The sequence below is a fragment of the Homo sapiens genome, chromosome 2, assembly GCF_000001405.40.
Source record: "Homo sapiens chromosome 2, GRCh38.p14 Primary Assembly".
NCBI lineage: Eukaryota > Metazoa > Chordata > Mammalia > Primates > Hominidae > Homo > Homo sapiens.
In genome coordinates, this window is record NC_000002.12 from 189,315,082 (window position 1) to 189,338,960 (window position 23,879).

At 36.9% G+C, this 23,879-nt stretch overlaps 1 protein-coding gene across 3 annotated transcripts in view; it reads right to left on the minus strand.

The window, feature by feature from the left end:
* Positions 1-23,879, minus strand: part of COL5A2 (collagen type V alpha 2 chain) — a 409,214-nt gene that overhangs the window by 283,184 nt on the left and 102,151 nt on the right. For 2 of the 3 annotated variants that reach the window (XM_047443252.1, XM_011510573.4), the window contains one exon: positions 22,794-22,897. The exons of the other annotated variant lie outside the window; for it this stretch is intronic. The gene's annotated coding sequence lies outside the window, so the exon portion shown is untranslated. The remainder of the gene's footprint in view (positions 1-22,793; positions 22,898-23,879) is intronic. 3 annotated transcript variants of the gene reach the window in all.

A 23,879-nucleotide genomic window follows, 5' to 3' on the forward strand; every position in this document is an offset into this window, starting at 1 on the left:
GGCCAGCATCATCCTGATACCCAAACCTGGGAGAGATACAACAAAAAAAGAAAACTTCATGAACTTGATGAACACTGATGCAAAAATCCCCAACAAAATACTGGCAAGCCAAATCCAGCAGCATATCAAAATATATCAAAATAGCTGATCCACCACAATCAAGTAAGCTTCATCCCTGGGATGCAAGATTGGTTCAATATACACAAGTCAATACATGTGATTCATCTCATAAACAGAACTGAAGGCAAAAACCACATGATTATCTCAATAGATGCAGAAAGGCTTTTGGTAAAATTCAACATCTGTTCATGTTAAAAATTCCCTATAACTAGGTATTGAAGGAAAATACCTCAAAATAATAAGAACCATATATGACAAACCCACAGCCAACATCACACTGAATGGGCAAAAGCTAGAAGCATTCCTCTTGAAAATCAGCACAAGACAAAGGTGCCCTCTCACCACTCCTATTCCACATAGTATTGGAAGTTCTGGCCAGGACAATTGGGCAAGAGAAAGAAAGAAAGGGTATTCGAATAGGAAGAGAGGAAGTCAAACTATCCCTGTTTGCAGATGACATAATCCTGTATCTAGAAAACCCCCTTGTCTAGGCCCAAAAGCTTCTTAAGCTGATAAACAACTTCAGGAAGGTCTCAAGATACAAAATTATTGTGTAAAATTACTATCAATTCTATATACCAACAACAGTCAAGCCAAGAGCCAAATCAGGAATGAACTCCCATTCACAGTTGCCACAAAAAGAATAATTGGAAAAAAGCTCAATATCACTGATCACTAAACGAATGCACTGAGATACCATCTTACACCAGTCAGAATGACTATTTAATAAATGACTTTTTAATAAAAAGTCAAAAATAATAGATGCTGGCAAGGTCGTGGAGAAAAAGGAATGCTTATACACTGTTGGTGGGAGTGTAAATTAGTTCAGCCATTGTGGAAGACAGTGTGGCAATTCCTCAAAGACCTAAAGACAGAAATACCATTCAACTCAGCAATTCCATTACTTGCTATATACCTAAGGAAGATAAATCACTCTGTTATAAAGACACATGCACATGTATGTTCCTTGAACCACTATTCATAATAGCAAAGATATAGAATCAACCTTAATGTCCATCAATGATAGACTGGATAAAAAAATGTGGTACATATATACCATGAAATACTATGCAGCCATGAAAAGGAATGAGATCATGTTCTTTGCAGGGACATGGATGGAGCTGGAGGCCATTATCCTTAGCATACTAATATAGGAATAGAAAACCAAACACCACATGTTCTCACCTATAAATGGGAGCTCATGCAGGGTTTAATACCTAAGTGATGGGTATATAGGTGCAGCAAACCACCATGGCACATGTTTACCTGTGTAACAAATCTGCATGTCCTGAAGGAAAAAAATTAAAATGTAAAAAAAAATAAGTGGGAACTAAATGATGAGAACACATAGACACACAGAGAGAACAACACAAACTGGGGTCCTTCAGAGGGTAAAGAGTGGGAGGAGGGAGAGAATGAGGAAAAATAATGAATGGTTACTAGACTTAATTCCTGGGTGGTGAAATAATCTGTAAAACAAACCCCCATGACACAAGTTCACCTGTATAACAAACCTGCACTTGTACCCCTAAACTTAAAGTATAAGTCAAAATTTATTTATTTATTTTTAGTCACTTAAAAGCAAAAAAAAAAAAAAAGACTGAATAAGACCTACTATTTGATACCACAACAGGGTGATTATGGTCAATAATAACTTAATTATACATTTTAAAATAACTTAAAAGTGTAGTCAGATTGTTTGTAACCCAAAGGATAAATTATTGAGGAGATGAAGACCCCATTCTCCATGATGTGCTTATCTCACATTGCATGCCTGTATCAAAACATCTCAAGTATTTCATAAATATATACACCTACTATGTACCCACAAAAATTAACAAGAAAATAAAAGCGTACATTCATATTTTTATTCATTTTAGTCTTTATATAAAGCCAAAGGTATATTATTTTTAAGAAAACTTATGAAGTCATTTCTATAGCATAAGATAATGTTGTTTTCTATTAATCAAAATGTCACAGAGTTCAGGTTCCTAAGATTACTTTATGGAGATGTATACCTATATACTTCAAATATCAATTTTCTTACCTAGAATTTTGTCAGAAATAAGATTTTCAAGTAATTTGACTTATCCTGGCAGTATTTCCTCTATATAAATTATAAGAAACACTCATTTGATTTCAATGTTATTTCATATTTTCAGGTTTTCCATTTTTTAATAGAATTTCTTCTCTGAAAGCAAGAGTTGCTAACACTTCTATAATTCTTCCTATATGGCAGACAATGTTCCAAATACTTTCTATGTACTGTTAGGTTCTGAGATTTGAACTGAGACTGTCTGGTTTAAGAATCCATGCTTCTAATCACTAACAAGGACTCTTAATAACATTCTTGATTTAAAAGAATATATGAGATTAATAAATAGTTTATTTCTACATATTACCAAATTTACAAAACCACTCAATATGACAGTTTTATTACTTAGAAAGCCAAGAATTTATTTCATCCACATTGATGAAATAGGGAAAAATGTATATAATTCCAAAGAGTAGTTAATCTAAAAGTTAGGTATGTGGCTTTAATATACTAAGAATTTTTTTTATGCTTGAAGTACAGATTCACTCAGATTGCATTATAGGTAAAACTTATTTGCAGGTGATGAAAGCAGCTATGCCAACAATCAAAACTATTCAAATTGAAAGGTAAAATTGACTAGCTGGTATTCAAAATTATTTGACTGACCAAAATATAGGAGCACTAAATGTGATCATAATTTTAATGAAATAAAAATGTAAGCACTCACTTGTTCCTGACAAAATTTTCCTCTTTAGCACTAATTTTAGGAAAGTTTTTTGTTTGTTTGTTTGTTTGTTTTTACTCTCAGAGCTCTGGAATTCTCTAGAAGAGTGCACAATATACAGAACCAAGATATTATCGTGCTGTTTTTCTAAACTCTGTATCTGACCCTGTAGAACACCTGTGTCTGCAAACACTGATATGAGTGGTCCCACTCAGGGCTGACTTCAAACTGCATTGATCTTTCAACTCACTGCAATATCTGAGAACAGAGTTGGCATGTACTGACTTAAGAAATAAGTTAAAGTATGACAAGGGGATAAAAAATACCAATTAAGTTTTCTCACCTGTAGTGTCAACCTATATAATGCTGACTTATCCTCAAGGATTCCATCGCCCATTTTACTAAATTTCCTTCTCTTGCCTCACTTTAGCCTTTGATTTCTATGCCAGCCTTGAATTAGCCAACTCCCTCTACATGCCTTATTCTTCTAGTTATTTGGTTCAAAATTTATTTTAAAAGGGGGCTAATTCATTGCCATGAGCTTATAAGATAGTAGTCCCCTCAACAAGAATCCCTTTCAACTGGACTCCACAGCATGATTTTTTCTAAAGCTTCTCATTCTCCACAAACTCCTCCAATTAATAGTACCTGATAGGTAAATGGTATTTTGACAAAGCCATTTTGACAAGAGAACACTTTGAAGCACTTAAAAATAAAATTATTAAACTTTTCTTAACAACTTTTATTTTAGTTAATTTGTAAAGCAAATATCATCACTTCATCTCCTCTCTCAGATCTGGGGGAGGAAATAGAAGAAGAGCCAAGGATAACGTGGGGCTTGGGGGTGTCAGTTGCCACACCTGTTTTGAATAGTTTTGAATTTTGACACAGCTGCTTTAGTCACCTGCAAATAAACCTCTGCCAGAGTCAAACAGCTGCCTCCAAATGGACACCCTGCATCTGATTAAGCTTAGTTTATTATCATTATACATCTGCACTTCTCAAAGTATTCATATCCCCAGGATATGTGGTACTGTGCCAAGAGACACTCAGAAGCAAGGCTCAACATAACAGCTGCCAGGGATGTCTATTTTAGACATATTTGAGAAAAAAAAATAACCTTGCCTGTTACTGATTTTATATTAAAACAAACATGGATATGGCATGAAATTAAATGAAATTTTGAATAAATTGTTAAAATAAAACATGACATGTTAAAGAAAGAGACTGCAAGATGGCCGAATAGGAACAGCTCCAGTCTACAGCTCCCAGCGTGAGCGGCGCAGAAGATGGGTGATTTCTGCATTTCCAACTTAGGTACTGGGTTCATCTCACTGGGGCTTGTCAGACAGTAGGTGCAGGACACTGGATGCAGCGCACCAAGCGTGAGCCGAAGCAGGGCGAGGCATCGCCTAATCCGGGAAGTGCAAGGGGTCAGATAATTCCCTTTCATAGCCAAGCAAAGCTGTGACAGACTGCACCTGGAAAATCAGGTCACTCCCACACTAATACTGCGCTTTTCCAATGGTCTTAGCAAACAGCACACCAGGAGATTATATCCCGTGCCTGGCTCGGAGGGTCCCACGCCCACGGAGCCTTGCTCATTGCTAGCATAGCAGTCTGAGATCAAACTGCAAGGCAGCAGCCAGGCTCGGGGAGGGGCGCCCGCCATTGCTGAGGCTTGAGTAGGTAAACAAAGCGACCAGGAAGCTTGAACTGGGTGGAGCCCACTGCAGCTCAAGGAGGCTGGCCTGCTCTGTAGACTCCACCTCTGGGAGCAGGGCGTAGCCGAACAAAAGGCAGCAGAAACCTCTGCAGACTTAAATGTCCCTGTCTGACAGCCTTGAAGAGAGTAGTGGTTCTTCCAGCACAGAGTTTGAGATCTGAGAATGGACAGACTGCATCCTCAAGTGGGTCCCTGACCCCCAGGTAGCCTATCTGGGAGGCACCCCCCCAGTAGGGGCAGACTGACATCTCACATGGCCGGGTACCCCTCTGAGACAAAACCTCCAGAGGAATGATCAGACAGCAACATTTGCTGTTCAGCAATATTCACTGTTCTGCAGCCTCCACTGCTGATATCCAGGCAAACAGGGTCTGGAGTAGAACTCCCGCAAATTCCAACAGACCTGCAGCTGAGGATTCCGACTATTAAAAGGAAAACTAACAAACAGAAAGGACATCCACACCAAAAACCCATCTGTACGTCACCATCATCAAAGACCAAAGGTAGATAAAAAACACAAAGATGGGGATAAAACAGAGCAGAAAAACTGAAAATTCTAAAAATCAGAGCGCCTCTCCTCCTCCAAAGGAATGCAGCTCCTCACCAGCAACAGAACAAAGCTGGACAGAGAATGACTTTGATGAGTTGAGAGAAGAAGGCTTCAGACGATCAAACGTCTCCGAGCTAAAGGGGGAAGTTTGAACCCATTGCAAAGAAGTTAAAAACCTTGAAAAAAGATTACACGAATGGCTAACTAGAATAACCAATGCAGAGAAGTCCTTAAAGGACCTGATGGGGCTGAAAACCATGGCACGAGAACTACGTGACAAATGCACAAGCTTCAGTAGCCGACTCGATCAACTGGAAGAAAGAGTATCAGTGATTGAAGATCAAATGAATGAAATAAAGTGAGAAAAGAAGTTTAGAGAAAAAAGAATAAGAAGAAATCAACAAAGCCTCCAAGAAATATGGGACTATGTGAAAAGACCAAATCTACGTCTGATTGGTGTACCTGAAAGTGATGGGGAGAATGGAACCAAGTTGGAAAACATTCTTCAGGTTATTATCCAGGAGAACTTCCCCAACCTAGCAAGGAAGGCCAACATTCAAATTCAAGAAATACAGAGAACGCCACAAAGATACTCCTCGAGAAGAGCAACTCCAAGACACATAATTGTCAGATTCACCAAAGTTGAAATGAAGGAAAAAATGTTAAGGGCAGCCAGAGAGAAAGGTCGGGTTACCCACACAGGGAAGCCTATCAGACTAACAGTGGATCTCTGGGCAGAAACTCTACAAGCCAGAAGAGAGTGGGGGCCAATATTCAACATTCTTAAAGAAAAGAATTTTCAACCCAGAATTTCATATCCAGCCAAACTAAGCTTCATAAGTGAAGGAGAAATAAAATCCTTTATAGACAAGCAAATGCTGAGAGATTTTATCACCACCAGGCCTGCCCTACAACAGCTCCTGAAGGAAGCACTAAACATGGAGAGGAACAACCAGTACCAGCCACTGCAAAAACATGCCAAATTGTAAAGACCATCGATGCTAGGAGGAAACTGCATCAACTAACGAGTAAAATAACCAGCTAACATAATGATGACAGGATCAAATTCACACATAACAATATTAACTGTAAATGTAAATGGGCTAAATGTTCCAATTAAAAGACACAGACTGGAAAATTGGATAAAGAGTCAAGACCCATCAGTGTGCTGTATTCAGGAAACCCATCTCACGTGCAGAGACACACATAGGCTCAAAATAAAGGGATGGAGGAAGATCTACAAGCAAATGGAAAACAAAAAATGGCAGGGGTTGCAATCCTAGTCTCTGATAAAACAAATTTTAAGCCAACAAAGATCAAAAGAGACAAAGAAGGCCATTACATAAAGGTAAAGGGATCAATTCAACAAGAAGAGCTAACTATCCTAAATATATATGCACCCAATACAGGAGCACCCAGCTTCATAAAGCAAGTCCTTAGACTTGCTACTTAGACCTACAAAGAGACTTAGACTCCCACACAATAATGACGGCAGACTTTAACACCCCATTGTCAACATTAGACAGATCAATGAGACAGAAAGTTAACAAGGATATCCAGGAATTGAATTCAGCTCTGCACCAAGCAGACCTAATAGACATCTACAGAACTCTCCACCACAAATCAACAGAATATACATTCTTCTCAGCACCACATCGCACCTATTCCAAAATTGACCACATAGTTGGAAGTAAAGCACTCCTCAGCAAATGTAAAAGAACAGAAATTATAACAAACTGTCTCTCAGACCACAGTGCAATCAAACTAGAACTCAGCATTAAGAAACTCACTCAAAACCACTCAATTACATGGAAACTGAACAACCTGCTCCTGAATGACTACTGCGTACATAACGAAATGAAGGCAGAAATAAAGATGTTCTTTGAAACCAACAAGAACAAAGACACAACATACCAGAATCTCTGGGACACATTTAAAGCAGTGTGTAGAGGGAAATTTATAGCACTAAATACCCACAAGAGAAAGCAGGAAAGATCTAAAATTGACACCCTAACATCACAATTAAAAGAACTAGAGAAGCAAGAGCAAACACATTCAAAAGCTAACAGAAGGCAAGAAATAACAAAGATCAGAGCAGAACTGAAGGACATAGAGACACAAAAAACCCTTCAAAAAATCAATGAATACAGGAGCTGACTTTTTGAAAAAATCAACAAAACTGATACACTGCTAGCAAGACTAATAAAGAAGAAAAGAGAGAAGAATCAAACAGACGCAATAAAAATGATAAAGGGGATATCACCACCGATCCCACAGAAATACAAACTGCCATCACAGAATACTATAAACACCTCTACGCAAATAAACTAGAAAATCTAGAAGAAATGGATAAATTCCTCGACACATACACCCTCCCAAGACTAAACCAGGAAGAAGTTGAATCTCTGAATAGACCAATAACACACTCTGAAATTGAGGCAACAATTAATAGCTTAGCAACCAAAAAACGTCCAGGACCAGACGGATACACAGCCGAATTCTACCAGAGGTACAAGTAGGAGGTAGTACCATTCCTTCCGAAACTACTCCAATCAATAGAAAAAGAGGGAATCCTCCCTGAATCATTTTATGAGGCCAACATCATGATATCAAAGCCTGGCAGAGGCACAACAAAAAAAGAGAATTTTAGACCAATATCCCTGATGAACATCGATGCAAAAATCCTCAATAAAATAGTGGCAAACTGAATCCAGCAGCACAAAAAGCTTATCCACCATGATCAGGTGGGCTTCATCCCTGGGATGCAAGCTGGTTCAACATACACAAATCAATAAACGTAATACAGCATATAAACAGAACCAATGACAAAAACTACATGATTATCTCAATAGACGCAGAAAAGGCCTTCGAAAAAATTCAAAAGCGCTTCATGCTGAAAACTCTCAATAAATTAGGTACTGATGGGACGTATCTCAAAATAATAAGAGCTATTTATGACAAACCCACAGCCAATATCATACTGAATGGGCAAAAACTGGGAGCATTCCCTTTGAAAACTGGCACAAGACAGGGATGCCCTCTCTCACCACTCCTATTCAACATAGTGTTGGAAGTTCTGGCCAAGGCAATGAGGCAGGAGAAGGAAATAAAGGGTATTCAATTAGGAAAAGAGGAAGTCAAATTGTCACTGTTTGCAGATGACATGATTGTACATCTAGAAAACCCCATCGTCTCAGCCCAAAATCTCCTTAAGCTGATAAGCAACTTCAGCAAAGTCTCAGGATACAAAATCAATGTGCAAAAATCACAAGCATTCTTATACACCAATAACAGACAAACAGAGAGCCAAATCATGAGTGAACTCCCATTCACATTTGCTTCAAAGAGAATAAAATACCTAGGAATCCAACTTACTAGGGATGTGAAGGACCTTTTCAAGGAGAACTACAAACCACTGCTCAATGAAATAAAAGAGGACACAAACAAATGGAAGAACATTCCATGCTCATGGATAGCAAGAATCAATATTGTGAAAATGGCCATACTGCCCAAGGTAATTTATAGATTCAATGCCATCCCCATCAAGCTACCAATGCCTTTCTTCACAGAATTGGAAAAAACTACTTTAAAGTTCATATGGAACCAAAAAAGAGCCTGCATTGCCAAGTCAATACTAAGCCAAAAGAACAAAGCTGGAGGCATCACGCTACCTGACTTCAAACTATACTACAAGGCTACAGTAACTAAAACAGCATGATACTAGTACCAAAACAGAGATACAGACCAGTGGAACAGAACAGAGCCCTCAGAAATAATACCACACATCTACAACTATCTGATCTTTGGCAAACCTGACAAAAACAAGAAATGGGCAAAGGATTCCCTATTTAATAAATGGTGCTGGGAAAACTGGCTAGCCATAAGTAGAAAGCTGAAACTGGATCCCTTCCTTACACCTTATACAAAAATTCATTCAAGATGGATTAAAGACTTAGACCTAAAACCATAAAAACCCTAGAAGAAAATCTAGGCAATACCACTCAAGACATAAGCATGGGCAAGGATTTCATGTCTAAAACACCAAAAGCAATGGCAACAGAAGCCAAAATTGACAAATGGGATCTAATTAAACTAAATAGCTTCTGCATAGCAAAAGAAACTACCATCAGAGTGAACAGGCAACCTACAGAATGGGAGAAAATTTTTGCAATCTACTCATCTGACAAAGGGCTAATATCCAGAATCTACAAAGAACTCAAACAAATTTACAAGAAAAAAACAAACAACCCCATCAAGAAGTGGGTGAAGGATATGAGCAGACATTTCTCAAAAGAAGACATTTATGCAGCCAACAGACACATGAAAAAATGCTCATCATCACTGGCCATGAGAGAAATGCAAATCTAAACCACAAATGAGATATCATCTCACACCAGTTAGAATGGCGATCATTAAAAAGTCACGAAACAACAGGTGTTGGAGAGGATGTGGAGAAATAGGAACACTTTTACACTGTTAGTGGGACTGTAAACTAGTTCAACCATTGTGGAAGACAGTGTGGTGATTCCTCAGGGATCTAGAACTAGAAATACCATTTGACCCAGCCATCCCATTACTGGGTATATACCCAAAGGAATATAAATCATGCTACTATAAAGACACAAGCACACATATGTCTATTGCGGCACTACTCACAATAGCAAAGACTTGGAACCAACCCAAATGTCCAACAATGATAGACTGGATTAAGAAAATGTGGCACATATACACCATGGAATACTATGCAGCCATAAAAAATGATGAGTTCATGTCCTTTGTAGGGACATGGATGAAGTTGGAAACCATCATTCTCAGCAAACTATCGCAAGGACAAAAAATCAAACACTGCGTGTGCTCACTCATAGGTGGGAATGGAACAATGAGAACACTTGGACACGGGAAGGGGAACATCACACACTGGGGCCTGTTGTGGGGTGGGGGAAGGGGGAGGGATAGCATTAGGAGATATACCTAATGTAAATGACGAGTTAATGGGTGCAGCACACAAACATGGCACATGTATACATATGTAACAAACCTGCACATTGTGCACATGTACCCTAGAACTTAAAGTATAATAAAAAAAAATATATATATATAAATAAAAAAATAAAGAAGGAGACTGCTTGGGTCACTTCATCCTTTTTCCCCATCCTCCATGTTCCTTCTCCTCTGTTCCTAGCGGTCCTTCCACAAAAATGTTTGAAAAGCATAGCCATAAACTATTCTATACCTCCCCAAACAGACACACACACACACACACATACACACATACACACACACATTCAGGGAGAGACACAGAGACATTCTCATGATCTACCTTAGCAATTAATCATTCATATGTTTGTGTGTGTAATCTGCAGTGATTTTTCTTGTCATTTACTCTTATTTGTTTGTATATATTTGAGAGTATTTCTCTCATTGATAGCAACATCAAAGGAGGAAAAATGTACTTATACTTTCACTCTAACACTTTAAAGTTTCCAAAGAACTCAATTCAGAAAGTTCCAGAACTATATATGGGTGTTCCTCTAAAAGTTTGAAGTCAAAAAACATTTACCATAGAAAAAGGTTAGAAGGCCAGGCGCAGTGGCTCACACCTGTAATCCTAGCAATTTGGGAGGCCGAGCCAGGCAGATCACTTGAGGTCAGGAATTCGACACCAGCCTGGTCAACATGGTGAAACCCCATCTCTACTAAAAATACAAAAATTAGTCCGGCATAGTGGCACACGCCTGTAATCCCAGCTACTTGGGAGGCTGAGGCAGGAGAATTGCTTGAATCAAGGAGTCTGAGGTTGCAGTGAGCCAAGATGGCGCCACTGCACTCCAGCCTGAGTGACAGAGCAAGACCCTGTCTCAAAAAAAAAAAAAAAAAAAGAAGAAGAAGGTTAGAAATGGTGATGAGAATTGTATGTGAGATCACAACAGCATATTCAATCCATTGTGCAGTTAAAATATATTTTCAGTGCAATGTTGAATAAAACCAGTTTATTATAATGATGATGATTATGAAGAAGACAAAAACAAGCAATTCAATTAATAATTTATTTTAAAAGTTTAATTTGTAGGATGATGGTGGGGAGGGAAGCAGCTTCAGAGGCAAAGATGTAGAAAGAAAATTTTAAAGAGATTGTAAAACAGACTTCTAAGATATTTAGACAAGAAGGTTATTTAGGTCAGGTGTAATGGTTCACACTTGTAATCCCAGCACTTTGGGAAGCCGAGGCCAGGAATTGGAGACCAGCCTGGGCAACATAGTGAGACCAACATAGTGAGACCTTGTCTCTACAAGAAATAAGAAAATTAGCTGTGCATGGTGGTGTGCGCGCCTGTAGTCCCAGCTACCCAGAAGGCTGAAGTGGAAGGATCACTTGAGCCCAGACATTCAATGTTACAGTAAGCCAATCACACCATTGCCCTCCATCCTGGGTGACAGAGGAAGCTCCTGTCTCAAAAAAATTATTATACCTTTTCTGGTGGGGAGTGGGGGGAGTTCACCCACTCCCCACTAGAAAAAGTATAATAATAACATCTATAAAAATCAAAATGAGGCCAGGCGCGGTGGTTCACACCTGTAATCCAAGCACTTTGGGAGGCTGAGGTGGGCGGATCACTTGAGGTCAGGAGTTCAAGACCAGCCTGTCCAGCATGGTGAAACCACATCTCTACTAAAAATACAAAAATTAGCTGGACGTGATGGCACACACCTGTAATCCCAGATACTCGGCAGGCTGAGGCAGGAGAATGGCTTGAACTCAGGAGGCAAAGGTTGCAGTGAGCACAGATCATGCCACTGCACTCCAGCCTGGGTGACAGAGCAAGATTCTGTCTCGAAATAATAATAATAATAATAATAATAAATAAAAAATAATGAAAAAATAAAAAAGTGAAAATGAAAGCATAAGTAACACAATTTGAATTATATTCACTTTTTTCAGATTTTCTTCTAGTCCTTATATATCTGACTACAGGAGGTTTAAATGATGCTGATTTTCACTTAAAACATAGGCTTTCTCCTTCCTCCATACTTAGGAATCACTAACATTACTTTTTAAATGTTTTGTAATGTCTGTATGAATGTTTTTAGTTCACAAATAGCAAGAAGGAGAAAAATTGTTGAGGGTTGGGCATGGGAATAGGAAAGAAGGAGAGAAAACAGGAGGAAGAGGAAAAGGGGGAGAAAGAAGAAGAAGACAGAATTAGAGAGAAAGGGAACAAGAACAGAAAAAGTACAGATTGAAGAAAGGAGGAAAACTTAGGTAACTGAAGAAGAATTAGAAGAGGGGGAGATGTGCAACTAAAGAGATATGTGCGAAATCAATGGTCTATGGTGCTTCCTTTTGGTGCATTAAATGAAATAATCAAATTTGATGATGAATCAAATAAAGAGTTGAAAGATAACTTGAACTAGGTTGTCATATAACTTGATGAAAATTTACTGATGGCTACCCATACATAATAAATTACTCAAATACAAATAACCATATAACTAAACATGATCAGTTATTTTCAGGTAGAAGTTTAAAACAATACTGAGTTATAGACTTAGAAATTTATAGTTAATCTTGATCCTACATAATTGGAATGTTCATGTGCTTATTTGCAAGATGGAGTTCATGCTGAATCAATTTAGGGCTCTGAATTATCACAGCATGAAATATGTTGTAATTTTCCAAACCATTATACTCTTTTCAAGCCACTTAAATACTTCTAATGTGATTTAAAATTTTGGAATTTAATGGCATGTTTATCTTCTGAGATACTCAGCTTGCATATGCAACACAGAAATTCCTACAGAGTCCATATGAAGAGCCAACTTCATTCTTTCTCTATTTCATAGCAATGCTCTCAACTAAGTTCCCCTGTGCCTTATCCAACAAAGCTGGCATCCTGTAGTTATGCGATTCCAACAAAAAATAACAATGAACCCATTTTGAGTGCTTATCATGTTTCACTTCCCATGCCAAGAAATTCACATTCACTAACTGATATTTAACTAATAATACTTCCATGAGCAAACCACTTAACCAAACCTTCTGCTTTTCTACACAACGTATCTTTAAAACTGTATTCAAAAGTTACAAGTCCAAAGTTAAAAACACATGTTTTTTGGCAGCAAGTAGATACAGCTTTGACTCCCAGAGAGCTAAATCACTGTACAAAATTCTTATTGAAGTCCCAGCAGGCAGCACCTTCCTCAGGCCCAGGCAATCCAGCATGCAAGAGAGGCCCTGATGAGCCTCCAGAAAACAAAGGTCAGGAGATAGTCTGACTTTTTGGACATACCAGTTAATTCTCCCCTTCCATGTGTAAATAGATACAGGTTCCTCCCAGTCCCACAAACTTGTTACCAGTGTGTCAAGCCTTTAATAGAGGCCAGCACAAAAGGTAGCAGCTGCCAAAACATCTTAGACATGTGGAATACATGCATAAGAACAGGATTTTGTTTGCCCCACTGCTATAATAAAGTCAACTTGGTCTCAGCCAGTCAACAATGCCAAATTGTTGGTCATCATGGAAGACAGAAATACAAAAGCCTGGTGAACTATCAGCTAGCACTGAAAGCCTATGCCTGTAAGTGGTGACTGTCACATAGTATGTGATAAAGTACTTAAGTTTTGGAAGTGATTGACAACTTCATAAAACTTTTGCCTTACAGAAATGTGATGGTTGAATCTCATTAATTAATGTTGGGAAGTCAAAAAAATTACAAATAGAACTATTATATGATTCAGCAATCCCACTTCTGGGTATGTATCTAAAGGAAATGAAATCAGTATGCACTCTCATGTTCACTGCAGCATTACTCACCACAGCTAGGATATGGAATCAACCAAGTTTCCATCGATGGGGAAGTGAGTAAAGAAAATGTGGGATATATACATGATAAAAAATGATTCAGCCTTAAAAAAGAAGGAAACCTTGTCATTTACAACAACATGCATGAACCTGGAGAACCTATGGTAAGTGAAATAAGCCAGGCAGAGAAAGACAAATACTGCACGATCTCACTTAAGTATGGAATCTAAGAATGTCTAACTCATAGAACTCATAGAAGCCGAGAGTAAAACAGTAGTTACCAAGAGGTGGGAGAGATAGAGATATATTGGACAAAGGGCACAAAGTTTCAGTTAGATAGGATGAACATGTTTTATACATCTATTGTACAGCATGGTGACTATAGTTAATAATAATGTACTGTATAATTGAAATTTAATAAGAAAGTAGATCTTAAATTTCCTCACCAAAAAAAGACAACTATGTCAAGTAATGAATTTGCTAATTAGCTTGATTTTGGTAATCATTTTATAATGCATACATATATCAAAACATGTTGTATAGCATAAACATATATAATTTTTATTTCTCAATTTTATCTCAATAAACCTAGGAAAAAAAATAAAGCGAATCTCAAACATTAAAAAATAAGATAAAATAGAATAAAACCTCTTAAGCTCTCAAAACCTCAATTCAGTTTAAAGTGTGTTTATCATTGCTGTATTTATTTGCTTCAGCCTTTAAATATGGTAGAGAAAGAAATAAAATATCTTTCAAACAAAAAACTTCAAAAGTCTAAAAATAATGTGATGTCCACTTAGGTTGTAGTCAGAAGAGATTGTCACTCTCACTCTAACCAATACAAAAACAGAAAAGCTACCAAATAATGGTTGTTTTTTTTTTAATTTATGAGCGGTAAGAGAGAGGAAAAAAATCTTAATGATACCTGGAAACATAGCAGGAAGAACAAACTCATAATTAATAGGAATAAGGAAAAACTGCTGAAGTGTTAATAAACTTTTAACAGTACTGTGTGGGCTGGTCTAACAGTCTAGAATTCTGGTATGCCTTATAAAAGAACAAGTCAGCTACACACCAATTCCCCATTTGACCTTCGCTAAATCATGTCAATAGTGTAGCAAACGGCAGGGGCAGGGCAGGAGGTCTGAAAGAAATCCTCCTGAAATGCACTGAGATTTGACCAAGTACACTTCAAAATGTAGGAAGAGAGCAGAGTAAAAAATCCTCTGAGCCACGCTGGGCCATCACTGATTGCAAGGCAGAAGAACACCAAAGGCTAAACACAGGGAATGAAAATTGATAGAGGTCGCCCCAACTCACATAGGGTAGGTAGAGCAATGGCAGCAGCCTACCAAAGGATGGAGACAGGGCAGGATAACTGAAAGCCCGGAGGTTCACAGGGCTTTTACCAAAAGCAAAGCTGCAAAACCCAGAAAGCTGAAATAATATATATCTATCTTCTGAGATGTGGAAAGTTAGGGGCAGAGCGGAGAGCAAAGAAAATTCTTCAGTATCTCAAAATATAGACAGCAGGCCTGTGAAGCAGACAGAAATCTCTGTCCGTTGAGAAATCTGACAACATGAGTGAAAAACATAGTGATGTCCAGAGTCTTACCAATGCTCAGGTCCCAAGCCATAATTTAGGGAAATTCCTGATCTTGCCCTCAAAAACATGTGAAGCTAGTGATTAAATTAAGTACAAAAGCTGCAACAGAGCACAGGCTCATTGCAATTACAGACTACATTGACATAGCCCCTCATCCTTACAACTTGTTAGAAGTAGTGTGCCATTTTCTTGAAGAAAATAATACCTTCAATTTAAACTCTTCTTTGACACAATTTCTGTTATACAATCAAAAATTATGAGACATGCATAAAACCATGAGTATATATGTGATCCAGAATCAAAAGGAAAGTAGTTAATACAAGCCGACTCTCAGAGGAGACAGAGGTCAGAATTAACAGACAAGAGTTTTAAAACAACATAATAAATATTTTATGAGATTGCGAAAAATGTGTACTTAATTTACATGATAATATAGAAAATTTGAACAAAAATGTTAAAAATAGAAAAAGAATCAAATGGAAATTATAGAACTAAAAAATACAACATTTACAAAATTAGATATGAAGAAGTCATTTGATAACCTAATAGCAGATTGAATGTGGGAAGGAAAAGAATCAGTGAAGTTGAAACAAAAAAATTAAACAGGCCAGGTGCAGTGGCTCACACCTGTAATCCCAGCACTTTGGGAGGCAGAGGCAGATGGATCACGAGGTCAGGAGATTGAGACCATCCTGGTCAACATGGTGAAATCCCATCTCTAATAAAATATAAAAAATTAGCCAGGCATGGTGGTGTGTGCCTGTAATCCCAAATCTCATCTTGCATTCACATGTGTTGAGGGAGGGACCTGGAGGGAGATAATTGAATAATGGGGGCAGATATTTCCCTTGCTGTTCTCATGATAGTGAATAAGTCTCATGAGATCTGATGGTTTTAAAAATGGGAGTTTCCCTGCACAAGCTCTTTCTTTGCCTACTGCCATCCATGTAATACATGACTTGTTCCTCCTTGCTTTCTGCCATGATTGTGAGGCCTCCCCAGCCATGTGGAACTATAAGTCCATTAAGCTCTTTTTCCTGTATATGTCTTTATCAGCAGCATAAAAACAAACTAATACATATATATACTAATTTTAAAAATGGTGAAAAATCCTGGCTAACATGGTGAAACCCCATCTCTACTAAAAATACAAAAAATTAGCCGGGCGTGGTGACGGGCACCTGTAGTCCCAGCTACTCGGGAGGCCGGGGCAGGAGAATGGCATGAACCCAGGAGGAGGAGGTTGCAGTGAGCGGAGATTGTGCCACTGCACTCCAGCCTGGGCGACAGAGCAAGACTCCGTCTCAAAAAAAAAAAAAAAACTGGTGACAATAAGGAAGTTGCTGAGATTATATAAATATATACCGAGACATTGTGACTAGACATTGTAGACTTTGTGACTAGAAGTAAACAGAAAAAATGACAAAATGTAGATTTATCAAGAAGATGCAGCAATATAATAGTGTATGTTACAATAATAAAGCCACCAAAGTACATGATTAAAAGACTGAGACCTAACAGAAGAAATACATAAAATCACAAATTAGCTGAGGATTATAACATTCTCTTGACATTGATTCATAATAGAAGCAGTTAAAAACAGATTATTAAGGGTATAGATAATGTGAGTGCTATCAACCAACTTGACCTACTCGGCATTAATAGAGCACTATAACCAACCTCTCCAGAATACACATTATTTTCAGGAATATATGGAACATTCACCATGATAGAACATATACTGGGCCATAAATCAAGTCCCCGTATATTTCAAAGAATTGAAACCATACAGTTTGGCTGTGTCTCCAACCAAATCGCATCTTGAATTCCCATGTGTTGTGGGAGGGACCTGGTGGGAGGTAACTGAATTATGGGAGCAGGTCTTTCTCATGCTGTTCTCATAATAGTGAATAAGTCTCATGAGATCTGATGGTTTTTATAGAGAGGAGTTTCCCTACACAAGCTCCCTCTTTGCCTGCTGCCATCCATGTAAGATGTGACTTGCTCCTCCTTGCCTTCTGCCATGATGATGAGGCCTCCCCAGCCACATGAAACTGTAAGTCCATTAAACCCTTTTTCCTGTATAAATTACCCACTCTTGGTATGTCTTTATAAGAAATGTGAAAACAAACTAATACAGTAAATTCGTACCAGTAGAGTGGGGCCCTGCTGAAAAGATACCCAAAAATGTGGAAGTGACTTTGGGATGGGGTAACAGGCAGAGATTGGAACAGTTGTGTTTTGGAGACAACATTATTAAATCTACAATTAATGTAAAAATCCTCAAATATTTGGAAATTAAGCAACACTTCTCAAAAACTCATGGATCAAAAGAGAAATCACGGAGAAAACTGGAATTATTTTAAGTGGAATAATAATGAAAATACAACACATCAGTGTTTTACATAAAGCATATCTCACAGCAAAATTCATAGTAATTAAATGAGAATATTGGGGAAAAAAGAAGAGTTTAAATTGAATTATCCAATCTTACTCTTTCGAAATTTGAAAAAGGAAGAATAAATTAGAACCAAAGAAAGTAGGAAAGGTGAAAATTTAAAGATAGAAATAGAAATCAATGAAACAGAAAACGCACTAACAATAGATAAATCAACAAAGTCAAAAGACCATCCTTTTTAAAAGATTAATGAAATTGCTAAACTTCTAGCAGGACTGATCAAGAGGAGAAATAGAGTAAGTATAAATTACTAATATAACAGATGAAAGAGGGACATCACCTCAAAGCTTGTAGATATTAAAAGTATTATAAACAATTTTATTCCAATGAATTTGACATCTGAAATAGTATGAGCAAATTCCTTGAAAAATACAACTTAAAACTCGCACAAGAAAAGAAACAAAATGTGAGTAGCTATATGTTATGAGTTGAATTGTCTACCCCCAAAATTCTATGTTGAAGTCCTAACCCCCAGTACCTCAAAATGTAACTTTATTTGGACTTTGGGTCTTTAAAGAGGTAATTTATTTAGTATGATGCCATTAAGTTGGGCCCTAACCTAATATGACTGATGTTCTTATAAAAAGATAAAATCACAGATATACACAGAGGGAATACATGTAATAAGAAAGAGAACTCACCAATCTATCAGTCAAGAAGAGAAGCCTCAAAAGAAACTAATCATGCTGACACACTGATGTCAGACTTCTAGACTCCAGAATTAAAAGAATATAAATTTCCATTGTTTAAGCCACTCAGTCTGTAGGACTTTGTTATGGCTTTCCTAGAAACTGATACAGCATACTACTGGTAATGAAAGGAAGACTGCAAAAAAAAAAAAGATATAATGCAGTCATCTCAATATATTTAATTGATATACTGATACAATGTATCTCAGCATAAAAATTAAGATATAATACAGTAATCTCAATAGATTTTTTAAACTATATTTAACAATATTAAACACCCAGTCATAATTCAAAATTCTTAGCAAATTAGGAATAGATAGGAATTGTTTAAATATAATAAAAGGCATTTATTTTTAAGAACTCACATCCTATATAATAGTAAAACGCTGAAGGCTGTCACCCTAAAACTGGGAACAAGGTAGGGTGTCTTCCCTCATTACTTCATGATGCTATGTCCTAGCCAGTACAAAAAATCAAGAAAAAGAAAAATAGCCAAAATATTGGAAAGAAAGTGAAACCATCATTATCTGCTGATAACATTATGGTATATGAATAAAACTCTAGGGAGTTTCCAGAAATCAACAAAAAATAAAAAGTGAATTAGCAAGGTCTCAGAGTACACAATCAGTATCCAAAAATTAACTCTTTTAAAATATTACCAACAATTAGAAATTGTGGTTTAAATATACTACCATTTACAATGGCATTTTAAAAATTACATGCGAAAGACTAAATCTAACCAAATTTCAAGATCTTTATTAAAAAAATAAAAATAATTGCTCAAAGTAATTAAAGATCTAAGTAAATGTGAAGATATACTATTTCATAAAATTGGAAGACTAAAATTTGTAAGATCTCCTTTCTCCCCAAATTGATAGATAGGTTTAATGCAGTCTCAGTTAAACGTAAGCAGGTGTCTTGGACAAAATACAAGCAGTTTCTAAAATTTGTATTGAACGACAAAGTATTAGAAAAGCCAAAGCAATGTTAAAAGAGAACAAAAAAAATGTTTAAGGGCTTGCATTACCTGATTTCAAGGCTTACTATAAAGCTACAACTATCATGTGATGTTGACATAACAATATATATACCTACCAATAGAGCAGAATAGAGATTTCAGAAATAGACAACATACAGATGATCAACTGGTTTTTTGAAAAGGTGTCAAGATAATTTAATAGGGGAAATTATAACCTACTCTAAAAATCATATTAGTACTCTCTATCCATATTTAAAAAAATCCTTGGCAGTTACTTCACATTACATGTAAAAAAAATTAACTCATTACTGATCATTGATCTAATTGTAAAAGCTAGAATCATAAAGCTTCTAGAAGAAAAAAGTAAGAGAACATCTTCACGACCTTGAGGGTAGTCAAACAGTTGTTGAACAAAACATAAAACAGAAGCCATTAAAGAACAAAAGTTAACACTATCATCACAATAATCAAAAAATCATTTGTCATCAGGGAAATGCAAATCACAAACCACAATCAACAGATTTTTTAAAGCAGACAACAACAAATATTGGCAAAGATATTGAGAAATTGGAAACCTCACACAATTGCTGGTGGGAATGTAAAATGGTGCAGTTGGAAAACATTTAAGCAGTTCCTCAAAAAAAGTGAAAAACAGAGCTGTCATATAGCCCAGCAATTCCATTCTTAGAAATATACTTGAGAGAATGGAAAACTTAAGGTTACCCCAAACCTGAACATTGATATTTATAACAGTATTGGTTGTAGTAGACAAAAATGGAAACAACCCAAATGCCTATCAATTGATGAATGAATTTTAAATGTAGTATATCCATACAGTGAAATATTATCCAGCCATAAATCATGCTAAATGAAATAAGCCACCTACAAAAGGCCACAGATTGTATTATTCCATTTATATGAGCTGTCCAGAATAGGCAATTCTGCATGATTTTTTTAAGTAAATTACCAGCTGCCAGGGTCTGGGGGAAAAGGAGAATGAGGAGTGAGTGCTAATAGATATGGGGTATATCTGAGATGTGATGAAAATGTTTAGAATTACATAGTGGTGATGGTTGCACAACTTTGTGAATATACTAAAAAACACTGAATTGCTCACTTTAAAGAGTGAATTTGATGGGATGTGAATTACATTTCAATTTTTCTAAAAAGGAAATCATTAAGAAAATGAATAGACAAGACACAGACTGGGAGAATATGTTAAGAACATTTATCTGACAAAGATCTTTTACAATATAGAAAGAATTCCTAAAAATAAACAATACAAAGACAAAAAATTAAAAATGGGTAGAAGAATTGAAGAGACACCTCATAAAGAAAGACATGGAAAGGCCAATAAACACATAAAAAGTTCCTCAACATAATTCTTAAGCAGAGAAATGCAAATAAAGCCACAATGTGATAAAATTTTAATCTCACTAGAGTAGTTGAAATAAAAAAGATAAATAATACCAAGTAATGGCAAGGATGTGGAACAAATGGAACCTTCATACATTGCTGTTGAGATTGTCAAATGGTACAACCACTGTGAAACACTGGCAATTTAACATAGGGTTCTGTGATGCAGCAATCCCACTGCCAGGAATTTACCCAAGGAATATAAAAACATTACGTCCATAAAATGGCTTTTACAAGAGTATCTTAGTGCTCTTATTTACAATAGCCCAAACTGGAAATAACAGAAATGTTCATCATCAAGAGAAAGGAAAATGGTGATACATTCATATAACAGGAAATTGCTCAATTACAATTTAAAAAATGAAAAACTGATCCATGCAAAAATATGGATGAATCTTACATATATTTTGACTCAAGAAGCCAAACCCAAAAGAACAGATACTGTATGAATCAATGTATATGAAGTCCAAGACATGCAAAACTAATCCATGTTGTCTCTGGTGTTTGGAGGAGAGTAATGGTAAAGCAACTAGGAAGGAACACAGGGAGCATTCTGGGTGATGGAACTGTTATGTATTGGTTTGAGTGGTGACTGTACAGGTTTGCACAATAGTCAAAATCTTTGGAATTGTAAACTTAAGACCTTTCACATTCTAAGTACACTACTCCTTTAAACATTAAATAAACATAAAAAAACGTAAAAACCTAAACAATAAATCAATTCAGAAGTTATCCAGACTCCACTAAATATCAAAGAGTTTAGATTCAGGTTGAGTTTATGGCCAAAGTCTTAGGAACTATTTTTTTCTGGCCTACTTTTTTATTCATTCTTTACATTAATACCATGTTTGTAAGATATGCCTTTGTGTACATATTTTGCTCAATACAAGCACTAATATTTAAACTGGATTAAATGACCCCAGTGCACACAAGCATACACATTCATTAATACTCCTTTCTAGCAGCATTATGAAGTGTTTTTTGACATCATTTTTTTTTTTCTTTTTTTTTTTTTGAGACGGAGTCTCGCTCTGTCGCCCAGGCTGGAGTGCAGTGGCGGGATCTCGGCTCACTGCAAGCTCCGCCTCCCGGGTTCACGCCATTCTCCTGCCTCAGCCTCCCAAGTAGCTGGGACTACAGGCGCCCGCCACTACGCCCGGCTAATTTTTTGTATTTTTAGTAGAGACGGGGTTTCACCGTTTTAGCCCGGATGGTCTCGATCTCCTGACCTCGTGATCCGCCCGCCTCGGCCTCCCAAAGTGCTGGGATTACAGGCGTGAGCCACCGCGCCCGGCCGACATCATTTTTTAATTAAATAAAAAAAAGTTTTCAATTACCAGTACTATAAACTTTTAGAATTGTGGGATTAATCCAAACCACTTCCTTCAAAGACAAGTGAATTAAATATACTCATGGAGGAAGCATAGATTAGAATCATGATTTTTATCTATTTTAAGAGAATAGAAGAACAGAAGGGGTTACAATCTTGCAATATTATGCAACTCTTCTGCTCTAATATATCAAAAACTTGATGATCCAAGATCATGCAGAACAGCTGAGAAGAAATCAAAGTAAACAGTGTACCTTGCAGCCAACAGATCCTGCCAATATGAGATTAGAACTCTCCATCCTAGCAAAAAAAAAAAAAAAATGGTTTTGGAAAGTTCCCTGCAACATTTTATGACTCACAGATATTCCCAGAGGTTCCTGTTTGCATTCTGCAGTAGACAGTGTTTGAAGGAAGACGTGCAGTTCTAGTCAACTGTTGTTCTTAAGCAACTTGGCTGAAAGATCTGTTTAAAAAACATTTGTTGGAAAGATGATATGTTTGGTTGTTTTAATTTTTTTAAACAAAATTGCAGATTTTAAATTTGTTTAACTCTTAATTCAACATTGACTAAAAGTACAGCCTAAGAAAAATTACTATGTTACATAATATATATTACAAACGTAGCAACTTTCTCATTCGAAAATTCCCAAACCAGGGGGTACCTATTCTTGGCATAGTCCCCCTTGCATATCCTTCCAAACTGCCTCCAGATCCCTGGCTCTGTATTCCATAGCTCTGGCTCTCACCTTTGCCACCCAGTTCAATATCCCACCTTGGCTTCTACTTTGACCAACACTGCCAAGTCACCTCCCATCCCACCAGGACTTGATTCCTGGCTAATCTCCACTTTTGTCTAACCCCAGCTCTCTTGTTTGCTTCTAAGTATTAAATACCACTCATGAGCTACATTTCTCCCCACCCTCAACCAGCTCCACTCCACTCCACCTACAGGTTAGTAGTCTTCATTCCCCCAAGGCCTCTTCTCCGTTCCTAGCCAGCTCCCCCATTCTTCAGGTTCTTTTCTCCCCAAGTCCCCAAATAATAAAATACCTGGTTCTTAACAGTTGCCATCATTTACATAAGGTCATGTGTGGCTTTTTCTGATAATAACTATAAAGATATGGATATGAGAGAAGGTATAATATTATAAAATGTTTTTATATTTTAAAATAAAAATTATTATTTTATATTATAAATATATTTTATAATATAAAATTTAAATTTTATATTATAAAATAAAATATGTTAACATTATCCCAGTAAAAGCCGTTCTTTCATTTAATTTGCATGTTAATAGAAGGAAGACTGATCTCTCCTGACTCCTTAAGTGACTCATTGCTGCTGCTGCTCTACTACCAAGCCCAATCTTCCATTTCTCGTTGACTCTTGGCTATTCCCTCAAACTTGCTATCTTTAAAAAAAATTTGCTCTCCCAGGTTCACACC